Consider the following 11,194-nt stretch of genomic DNA (forward strand, 5'->3'; position numbering starts at 1 on the left):
TATTTCTGAGTTGAAGTTTTGCTCTTGTAGCCCAGGCTGCAGTGCAGTGGCGCGATCTCGGCTCACTGCAACCTCCGCCTCCCGGGTTCAAGCGATTCTCTTGCCTCAGCCTCCCGAGTAGCTGGGATTACAGGCATGCACCACCACACCGGACTAATTTTTTTGTATTTTTAGTAGAAACCGGGTTTCACCATGTTGGCCAGGCTGGTCTCGAACCCCTGACCTTGGGTGATCCGCCCGACTCAGCCTCCCAAAGTGCTGGGATTACAGGCGTGATCCACTGTGCCCGGCCAAATTAGATGGGCTTGTTTTTTTGTTTTTTTAATAAAATAGCTTTAAAAGAAAAACTACTCAGAGACAGCACACAAAGATCTATCAAGATGCTAGCTATCAGTCAGCACGGAGGCTGAGATGGGAAGATCGCTTGAGGACAAGAGAGTTCGAGGCTGCAGTGAGCTGTGATTGTGCCTGTGAGAGCCACTGCACTCCAGCGTGGGCAACGCAGCGAAGACTCCGGCTCAAAAATAAATAAATAAAATTGCAAATAAAATAAATTCTCACAAAAGGGTTAACCAAATGCCAGAGAAACGCCGGCATTAGAAAAGCATCATTTGCAGCTCCTAATGAAATAACAAATCCAGTCAATAGTATCAGCGCTGCTAAAATTATTGAGTGAAAAAATACTGGGAACTTTATGCACTGACATACCCTAAATCCATTAGTCAATCTTAAAATTGCTAAGAGCGAGGAAAATTGACGTTCTATTCCTCCGGATCCTGCTCGAGAAGCTGGGGGACTCGGGTCCGGTGCCGAGGTGTGGCCCGAGCCTGGCACCACCCACGCCGGCCGGGTGACCCCGGCCCCTTGGGGCTCCCGCGCTCCGTCAGCAGGCGACGCTGGGAGGCTGGGGTAGGCCCAGAGCGAGGACGGGCCCGGACTGGGTAGTGGGGATGTACCAGGGCCGGGTGCGGCGGGAGACGGCCCGGGAGGCGGAAGGTCGCGGACCTGCCCGACAGAAGAGTAGATGAGGGGAGACCGAGGACGCCCGGGTCCGGGGAGCTTACGAGGAGGCCAGGATCGCGGGGTAAGGAATCCGCGGGCAGTTACCTCCGCCAGGGGCAGGGTCCGGCCAGTCAGGCGCGAGAAGGCTAGGCGAGGCCGACTGCGCGGGGTGAAGACGCCAGGCCGACAGCTGCGGGCCCTACCGCCAGCCCTGACGCGAGCCTGCGTCCTGGCGACGGCGGAGGGCGGGCAGGGGGCGCGGGCGCTGCCACGGCGCCTGCTCAGAACCGGCCGGGAACGCCGCGGGCGGGTCTCCCCGGTCCTCCGCCCCTCCAGCCCTGCTCTCAGGCCTCCGCCCGGGCCCTCTAAGCTGCCAGCCGCGCCCGCCTCCGGGCTCCTCGCCCCTCCTCCCGCGCGCTCCCCTCCTCAGCGGCCGCCGGACCCCCTCAGTTCACTTCTCCCAGTTAACGCGTTCCTCGGACGCTGCTAGTTTGAGCGCACAGGCATTGGGCGGGGCTCACGGGGGAGCCGCTTAATAACCGACCAACATGAAACTCAAGGGCTGCCCCTTCCTAGCGGGGACCCTGCACAGACCCGAAAATAAGGGGTTTTGCTCTGCCCTCCTCAGTTCACGTGGGCACCTTGGAACACTGAAGAAGGCATTTTCCGAACTCACTGTCCTACGGACTTATTCTCCGCACTGTTTTCGCCTCCTTCGCCCTGTTCTCGTGACTGACAGGAGCAGGGGTCACAAGCAGGCAGCCCGAGAGCTCTGCTCACCTGGAAAAGCATTTTTGTGTAGCTTAAATGTGAAGGCCTCAGGCAGTGGCCTGTTGTCCTCCTCCACATGCGCCCATCTTCACTCTTTCATGTGACTGGCCTGTTTTTGAAGGCAGGACCCTGTCACCCTTGGCTAGGCCAGGTATGTTCTGCACCGAAAATGGCCCTGCCCTCTGCATTGGATGGCTAGCTCTTAGGTTGGTTTATTTTAGCAAATAAGCGTTACAGGGTAGGCGAACTGGCTGCATCAGAACCACAATTACCCCTGTGTCTCTGGGTGGGATAAATGGCGGATGGCATTCTGGCAGCTCAGCCCCACTTATCTCAGAGGTTATAGATCTGAGGTGGTTTAGATCCACCCCCAAATCACGAACATTTTACATAAGCCGTGCTAGAGTTAGCATAAAAGTCTCACAGAAAAATTTGGAAACTGAGAAATCCTAACCTATTCCCACAATCCTGTGTTCCCATTTTTAGGTCTTAAGATATGAAGACAATGGGATAACTGAGGCTGATTTTGCTGTGTGGCCATTAGACCTAGAAATATTGGTGTGATTCTGGAGTTGATTGCTCCACACGTTTATTTATTTATTTTCCTTTTTTTCCCTCCTCTTCCTCCTCCTCTATTCTTTAAAAACGTATGGAAATGTATCCGGCAATGTTTACTGTAAAAAATAATGTATGGAAATGACTACAATTTGCTAAAATAAAAATCATTGAGCACTTATGTGTGTCAGACACTATGCTAGGTATAAAGAGGGGAAGATGGTGTCCCTATTCAAAAGAGAGTCACACACACTTAAGTTACAGTGCAGTCATAAATACCATGATCGCAGTATGCACAGGTCCATTTTCTCTATCTGGGTGATGGGAAGGTTCAAAACTAAGCTAGGTTTTGAATGAGGAATAGTTTCATTTTGAAGCACATCCATTTTGCGATGCCTCTGGAGCTATCTAGTGAACAATTTAGATGCGTGGTTCAGAAGCTCGATGGGAGGCTTGGGAACACAGAATGTGTAAAATAAGCATCAGTCTCCCTTTCACCCTCTCTGCACTTTTTAAGGGTCATCTGTCTTTAGTATATATTGGTAAGAGATTTTATGGAGGATACCAATTCTTTTTTTTTTTTTTTGAGACAGAGTCTCACATTGTCACCCAGGGTGGAGTGCAGTTGCACGATCTCTGCTCACTGCAACCTCCGCCTCCCGGGTTCAAGCGATTCTCCTGCCTCAGCCTCCCAAGTAGCTGGGATTACAGGTGCCCACCACCAGGCCCAGCTAATTTTCGTATTTTTAGTAGAGACGGGGTTTCACTATGTTGGCCAGGCTGGTCTTGAACTCCTGACCTCGTGATTCACCCACCTCGGTCTCCCAAAGTGCCGGGATTACAGGTGTGAGCCACCGTGGCCTGCCAGCATACCAATTCTTATGAGAGAATGTCAGGGGTAGAAGAGATCCAAGGAAATGGTTGACCAGGTAAAAAACTGATAAAGGTCAAATAGAAATAAGCCTGAGAATTGCCCCATCAGATTTGGTTTAGTGTTTAGTAGGTATAGTTATAGTGCCAGATATATAATAACTGAGTTCCTTTTGAAAGCATATAGTAAAATCAAATCTGATTAGCCTAAGTAACAGAGGTGATTTATTGTAATGATTCTGGGGTATCTGACAGATTGTAGATATTCTCTCTAGGGTGCTCCTATCCAATATAAATTTCTGTAATGATGAAAATGTTCTATGTCTGCTGTGTCTTAATATGGTAACCATTAGCCAAAAGTGCTACTGAGCATATGAAATGTAGCTAGTGCAACTGAGACCCTGTAAACTAAGATTCCAGTCAAAGAGAAGGGAAAAAACAGTGAGCTTTGCCCACAGTCTTTAAGACCTGTGCCCAGAAATAGTACATAATATTTCTGCTTACATTCCACTGGAAATAACTTAGTCACATGATCACACCTAACTGCAAGGAAGCCTGGGAAATGTAGATTAGCAGTGTACCCAGAAAGACTGAGAAAATGGTTTTGGTGAACAACTAGCAGTGGTCAGAATACAAAAAGTAATAATACAGATTTCCTGCTTTCAAGAATATCACAGGTTTAGTGGGAGACAGATGAGTATTTTACTAGCAATGAATAAAGAACATGCTATACAAACCCAAAGAAAACAGTAGATATAGCCTGGATATTTGTTCCTACCTAAATCTCATGTTGAATTGTAATTCCCAGTGTTGGATGTGGGGCCTGGTGGGAGGTGATTGGATCATGAGGGTGAATTTCTTGTGAATGGTTTAGCACAATTCCTTGGTGCTGTCCTCATGATGGTGAGTGAGTTCTCATGAGATCCGGTTGTTTAAAAGTGTGTGGCACCTTGGGAGGCTGAGGCATGAGAATCGTTTGAATCTGGGAGGCAGAGGCTGCAATGAGCTGAGATCATGCCACTGCACTCCAGCCTGTGTGACAAAGCAAGACTCTCTTTTAAAAAAAAGTGGCACCTCCCCCCTGCCTGTGTTCCTGCTTTTGCCATGTGACTTACGCGCTCCCACTTTGCCTTCCGTCGTGAGTAAAAGCTTCCTGAGGCCCCCGCCAGAAGCAGATATCAGTGCTATGCTTCCTATACATCCTGTAGAACCATGAGACACGTAAACTTATTTTCCTGTAAATTACCCAGTCTCTGGTATTTCTTTATAACAATGTAAGAACAGCCTAATACAATGGTATTTCTCAAATCTTAATGTACGTATGGATCACCTGGGAATCTTGTTAAAATATACATTCTGGGCCGGGCATGGTGGCTCACACCTGTAATCCCAGCACTTTGGGAGGCTGAGGTGGATGGATCACTTGAGGTCAGGAGTTCGAGACCAGCCTGGATGACATGGTGAAACCCCATCTCTACTCAAAATACAAAAATTAGCTGAGTGTGGTGGCACACACCTGTAATTCCAACTGATCGTCTCATTGATGCAGAGGTTCGGCAGGTTTCCTACAAGTTTGATTGGGCAGGACCCTTGTTCAATTTTTCTTTAATTCTCTTCACTCTGCCCTTTGTCTTCAGGCTGGCTTCCTTTGTGGTAAGTGAGATGATGGCAAATTTACACATCTTACAAAGAAAATATAGTTTTGTTTTTTTTTTCTAAAATTGAACATCCTTTATGAGCCTCTACCCCAGTATATAGAAGGGAAAGTCTTTATGTTGACAAATAATGGTACTTCCTTTTTTTTTTTTTTTTTTTTGGTACCTAAGTCTCTTTCTTATCAATGTTCTATCTTGCAGATTTTCTTTCTCTCATTCTAATCAACCTACAAAGTGGATCAATGGTGATAGTGGGCTGGGCGCAGTGGCTCACACCTGTAATCCCAGCACTTTGGGAGGCCGAGGTGGGCAGATTACTTGAGGTCAGGAGTTTGAGACCAGCCTGGCCAATATGATGAAACCCCCATCTCTACTAAAAATACAAAAATTAGCCAGGCGTGGTGGCACACACCTGTAATCCCATCTACTCAGGAGGCTGAGACAGGAGAATCGCTTGAACCCAGGAGGTGGAGGTTGCAGTGAGCCGAGATAGTGCTACTACACTCCAGCCTGGGAAACAGAGCAAGACTCCGTCTCAAAGAAAAAAAAAATTAGCCGGACATAATGGTGCGCGCCTGTAGTTCCAACTACTTGGAAGGCTGAGGCAGGAGAATCGCTTGAACCTGGGAGGCGCAGGATGCAGTGAGCCAAGATTGCGCCATTACACTCCAGCCTAGGTGACAGAGCAAGACTCCATCTCCAAAAAAAAAAAGATAGTGATAGTGGTAGGAGGGATTATATGCCCTTATGGTATAGGGGAAGAGAGTGCTTGTAATTAACCTTTGGTTATAAATATATAAGTATATATTTACATAATTATAAATATATAATCTATATTCTTATTTGGTGTGTTCAGGTTACTGTAACAAAATACCATTGTGAAAGTTGTCATAGTCTGACCGGGCGTGGTGGCTCACACCTGTAATCCCAGCACTTTGGGAGGCCGAGGCGGGTAGATCACTTGAGGTCAGGAGTTCAGGACCAGCGTGGCCAACATGGTGAAACCCCATCTGTACTAAAAATACAAAAATTAGCCTGGCATGGTGGTAGGCGCCTGTAATCCCAGATACTAAGGAGGGTGAGTCAGGAGAATTGCCTGAACCCAGGGAACGGAGGTTGCAGTGAGCTGGGATCATGCCACTGCACTCCAGCCTGGGTGACAAAGCAAGAGTCCATCTCAAAAAAAAAAAAAGGAAGAAAGTTGTCTTAGTCAAAATAGAGTCACTAATGTTAAGAAAACCCTGACAAACAGAGCTGAGGAGGACCATGAAGAGAGGGTTCTCACATTTACATGCTGGTAACAAGAAAAACTCTGCAACCTCACACAAAGGCCATTGCAATCATTAACAAAAAATGCTTCCGAAAGGACATCTGCCCAGCAACTGCCCGTTCAACTTCAGACTGGTGTCACCCTTGTTGTTGATCTTTGTAGCGAAGTATAATTATTTCAAAACAATTATGTAATTCTCATTTTTTTCCTTCAGAAACCATACACACATAGTTTACTGTGGCATGCGTATTTCCATTGCAGTGCTGTATTTTCAAATAAACATCATTTTCTTTTGGAAAGTCTCTCTCTGTTTGCTGTTTAGATTGACATACGTGGTGTCAGAAGTGAGACCTGAAGAAAAGTTCACTATTGAAAGGAATCAGCTATGCTTGGAACCAGTTTGCAGAGTACTCACTTGAACTCTTTGAGCTCTCCACTTCCACAGCTTGCCTTTTCTGGCTTGGTGAGTCTTCTCTCAGGTTGAGCCTCCCTCCTTCAGGTAGAAGCTTTTTTACTTTATTTGGGATCTGGTGTGGATAAGGCAATCTTAATAAAAGATCTTGTGTACCTTCTGGGACTATAAAAGGTTTTTTTGTGTGTGTCTTTTCTGGTATAAAGATAAGCATCTTTCTGAATTGAGGACTCTTGGTTTCTACAGAATTTACATTCTGTCTGTGAGGCATGTCTTCCCTGGTTTGCATGCCTAGTTTAATATTTCATTTGTTCTGCACAACTGGGTTAAAATGTTGGCAAAAACTCTTATCTTGATCTATTTTTATTTGGTTTGACTCTTTCTTCTTGCTTGTTTCTGAAAATCTTCCAAGAGCCGAAACAAACTTTTTTTTTTTTTTTTTTTTTTTTTTTGAGATGGAGTCTCACTCTTTCGCCCAGGCTAGAGTGCAGTGGCCAATCTCGGCTCACTGCAAGCTCCGCCCCCTGGGTTCACACCACTCTCCTGCCTCAGCCTCCCGAGTAGCTGGGACTACAGGCACCTGCCACCGCACCTGGCTAATTTTTTTTTTGTATTTTTAGTAGAGACGGGGTTTCACCATATTGGCCAGGATTGTCTCGATCTCCTGACCTCATGATCTGCCTGCCTCGGCCTCCCAAAGTGCTGGGATTACAGGCGTGAGCCACCGCGCCCGGCCAAACCAAAACAAACATTCTTGGCGGTGGGTGCAGGACAGCTAATTAAACATCACTAGAGTGGTTGCCTCAGCTAAAACAATAGTCTAAACTCCTGATATTCCCTGAAAGGATTTGTAGAGTATTCTTTGCTCTCAAGAAATTAATAAGAAATGGAATGATCTTTTCAAACATTAAGGCAGGCAAGGTTTTCTGGGACTCTCAGGCTGGTCTTGAGCCTCAAGCAATACTCCCACCTCAGCCTCCCAATGTGCTAGAATTATAGGCGTAAGTCATCATGCCTGGCCCCATTTCTTAAGGTAATTTTGTTTGAAGCTTTTCAGATTTATATCTAAGAAGTTCAACTTTTGCTGTACTTCACTGTATGAGATGTGCAGAGCATACATCATGGCCTCTGTTATTTCTCTCCTTGAAAAGGTATATCTTTTTGCTTGGCTGGAGTGATAACTCTGTCCTTCAACTGTTTCATCAACTCCTATAACATTTTTTCTCTGGTTCCAACTCTGCTGTTGTGGCCTGACGCTGACATGTTTGTCTTGAAGGTGTACAAAAGCAATGTTTTTCTACAGAGTAACTTGATTCTCTAGTCTTGGCTTTTCTTGATGTGTCTGAATTGTTCCATGTAACCAGGAAACTCCCCATGCTTTTTCTGAGATCCAGCTATTTTTCTATTCAATGTACTAGTTTTTTTGTTTATATTCCTTTATAATGTAGCGTACATTCAAGATGCTGGTCACATTCTTCCTGTGTCTACTTAATTCAAATACCGTTTTCATCAAGTTTAACTTCCAGGTTATGTAAACAGGCTTCCCCTAAGGAGAAGCAATTACACTGTAGGAAATTTTTCTTTTCTTTTTTGGTAACTGGGCTTTAAAGAGACAAAACAAAGATCTTAGTTTAGTTTAGCTTTTTGAGATGGGGTCTTGCTCTGTCGACCAGGCTGGTTTTGAACTCCTGGCCTTAAATGATCCTTCCATTTCAGCAAGACTTTACATTTTATCAAGATAATTCATATATTATCTTTATTGGGTTTCAATTAGCTGGATAACTGAGCTTTTAAAGGGTTAGGTTTCTACATCCATGTAACTTTCTGTATTGCTTTTGGTCTTTTTATTATTATTTTGCTGTGATTCTGTTTTAATCGAATGTTTTGAACCTTTTGACATTATTGGCCAATTTCCCCAGGATCAGAATCCTAAGTCTTTTTGGCCCAAAATTAACATTGGGATTTCTAGTTGGACCCCTGGGAAGCCTCAAAGAATATGTCTCTCATCTTATAGAGATAGTAAATGATTCGGCTTATTTGGCAAATTGCATAGGAGGCGTTGTGAAATGACAAATGATACTAGATATTCTTTCAGTTACATTATGGGTATATTATTAGTATAAATGTTCCAAAAATTATATAAACATAAAAATTTAATATGTTATTAGTCATAATTTTGATTATTGTGTTGAAACTTTTAAGTTATATTTATATGGATATGTTATTAATATGAGTATTATAAAGATTATATAAAATTTGGTCAGATGCGGTGGCTCACACCTGTAATCTCAGCACTTTGGGAGGCTGAGGTGGGCAGATCACCTGAGGTCAGGAGTTTGAGATAAGCCTGGCCAACATGATGAAACCCCATCTCTATTAAAAATATGAAAATTGGCCGGGTGCGGTGGCTCACGCCTGTAATCCCAGCACTTTGGGAGGCCTAGGCGGGCAGATCACGAGGTCAAGAGATAGAGACCATTCTGGCCAATATGGTGAAACCCCATCTATACTAAAAATACAACAAAAAAATTAGCCGGGTGTGGTGGCAGGCACCTGTAGTCCCAGCTACTCAGGAGGCTGAGGCAGGAGAATGGCGTGAAGCCGGGAGGTGGAGCTTGCAGTGAGCCGAGATCGCGCCACTGCACTCTGGCCTGGGCGATAGAGCGAGACTCTGCCTCAAAAAAAAAATAAATGAAAATGAAAATTAGCCGAGTGTGGTGGCTGGTGCCTGTAATCCCAGCTACTTGGGAGGCTGAGACAGGAGAATCGCTTAAACCTAGGAGGCAGAGGTTGTAGTGAGCAGAGATCGTGCCATTGCACTCCAGCCTGGGTGACGAGAGTGAAACTCCATCTCAAAAAATAATAAAATAAAATAAAATGTATAGGCTGGGAGTGGTGGCTCATGCCTGTAATCCCAGCACTTTGGGAGGCCAAGGCGGGCAGATCACCTGAGGTTGGGAGTTTGAGACCAGCCTGGCCAACATGAAACTCCATCTCTACTAAAAATACAAAAATTAACCAAGCATGGTGGTGCGTGCCTGTAATCCCAGCTACTCGGGAGGCTGAGGCAAGAGAATCGCTTGAACCCAGGTGGAGGAGGTGGCAGTGAGCCAAGATCACTCCATTACACTCCAGCCTGGGCGACAAGAACGAAACTGTTTCAAAAAAAAAAAAAATTTATAAAAGTCTAATGGTCCTGATATGACACTGTCAGTCATGATACTGGGTTTTCTTTTCTTTTCTTTTCTTTTCTTTTCTTCTTTGAGATGCAGCCTCGCCCTGTCACCCAGGCTGGAGTGCGATGGCGCGATCTCGGCTCACTGCAAACTCTGCCTCCTGGGTTCAAACGATTCTCCTGCCTCAGCCTCCGGAGTAGCTGGGATTACAGGTGTGCGCCAACATGCCCAGCTAATTTTTGTATTTTTAGTAGAGACAGGGTTTCACCATGTTGGCCAGGCAGGTCTGGAACCCCTGACCTCAGATGATCTGCCTGCCTTGTCCTCCCAAATTGCTGGGATCACAGGCATGAGCCACCACTCCCTGCCTAACAAGTACTCTTGAACACAGATTTCTGATAACTTTAAGATCAATGAACTAAATAAAAATTTCCAGAACTCTAATAAAGAAACGGATGGGTTTGGCCAAGTGTGTTGGCTCACGCTTGTAATCCCAGGACTTTGGGAGGCCAAGGCAGGCAGATTGCTGGAGCCCAGGAGCTTGAGACCAGCCTGGGTAACATGGCAAAACCTCGTCTCTCAAAAAAATACAAAAAATTAGCTAGGTATGATGGTGTGAGTTTCTAGTACCAGCTACTTGGAAGGCTGAGGTGGGAGAATCACCTGAGCCTGTGAAGTTGAGGCTGCAGTGAGCCATGATTCCACCACTGCACTCGAGCCTGGGTGTTAGAGTGAAAACCTGTCTCAAAGAATAAAAGAAGAAAAGAAACTGATGGGTTTTATGAATCAAGCAAAAAGCAAAACAAGACATCAATTACATGAAATTTAAGTAGTTGATAAATACAATGTTTTTATGGCTTTTATTTAAGACGTTGTTGGCTCTTTACTAAAATGTTTTGTTTTTCAGATTTAAGGAATTCTTCTCTCATAAGCTATCTATAGTTGACAGCAATTTCTGTTTTTTTTAATTATACTTTAAGTTATAGGGTACACATGCACAACGTGCAGGTTTGTTACATATGTATACATGTGCCATGTTGGTGTGCTGCACCCATTAACTCGTCATTTACATTAGGTATATCTCCTAATGCTATCCCTCCCCCCTCCCCCCACCCCACGACAAGCCCCAGTGTGTGATGTTCCCCACCCTGTGTCCAAGTGTTCTCACTGTTCAATTCCTACCTATGAGTGAGAACATGCAGTGGTTGGTTTTCTATCCTTGCGATAGTTTGCTCAGAATGATAGTTTCCAGCTTCATCCATGTCCCTACAAAGGACGTGAACTCATCCTTTTTTATGGCTGCATAGTATTCCATGGTGTATATGTGCCACATTTTCTTAATCCAGTCTATCATTGATGGACATTTGGGTTGGTTCCAAGTCTTTGCTATTGTGAATAGTGCCGCAATAAACATACGTGTGCATGTGTCTTTATAGCAGCATGATTTATAATCTTTGGGTGTATACCCAGTAATGGGATGGCT

The 11,194-nt window shown here is 45.0% G+C and overlaps 1 protein-coding gene and 1 long non-coding RNA gene across 48 annotated transcripts in view, besides 3 other annotated features; one reads left to right on the forward strand and one right to left on the reverse strand.

Moving 5' to 3' along the window:
* CPLANE1 (ciliogenesis and planar polarity effector complex subunit 1) overlaps positions 1–1,239 on the reverse strand; it is a 173,708-nt gene extending 172,469 nt beyond the window's left edge. For 28 of the 47 annotated variants that reach the window (XM_047417575.1, XM_047417572.1, XM_047417573.1 and 25 more), the window contains exon 1: positions 1,108–1,239. The gene's annotated coding sequence lies outside the window, so the exon portion shown is untranslated. Of the gene's footprint in view, positions 1–708 lie in introns of all 47 variants that reach the window. The other 19 variants (XM_047417561.1, XM_047417567.1, XM_047417569.1 and 16 more) reach the window with 2 other exon arrangements.
* Positions 740–879: a silencer, noted in NCBI's record as "silent region_15978". NCBI's record gives its function as "represses an Ori minimal core promoter by ATAC-STARR-seq in GM12878 lymphoblastoid cells {active_cell/tissue: GM12878}" and the evidence as "EXISTENCE:reporter gene assay evidence [ECO:0000049][PMID:35858748]".
* Positions 909–2,509, forward strand: CPLANE1-AS1 (CPLANE1 antisense RNA 1). Its single transcript, NR_134263.1, has 2 exons — positions 909–1,084; positions 2,260–2,509. It is a non-coding gene; the product is annotated as a CPLANE1 antisense RNA 1 (long non-coding RNA).
* Positions 1,080–1,559: a silencer, noted in NCBI's record as "silent region_15979". NCBI's record gives its function as "represses an Ori minimal core promoter by ATAC-STARR-seq in GM12878 lymphoblastoid cells {active_cell/tissue: GM12878}" and the evidence as "EXISTENCE:reporter gene assay evidence [ECO:0000049][PMID:35858748]".
* Positions 6,356–6,556: a silencer, noted in NCBI's record as "peak5228 fragment used in MPRA reporter construct". NCBI's record gives its function as "represses an SCP1 promoter by STARR-seq MPRAs in K562 erythroleukemia cells {active_cell/tissue: K562}" and the evidence as "EXISTENCE:reporter gene assay evidence [ECO:0000049][PMID:32103011]".

This window comes from Homo sapiens, chromosome 5, assembly GCF_000001405.40.
Source record: "Homo sapiens chromosome 5, GRCh38.p14 Primary Assembly".
Taxonomy (NCBI): domain Eukaryota; kingdom Metazoa; phylum Chordata; class Mammalia; order Primates; family Hominidae; genus Homo; species Homo sapiens.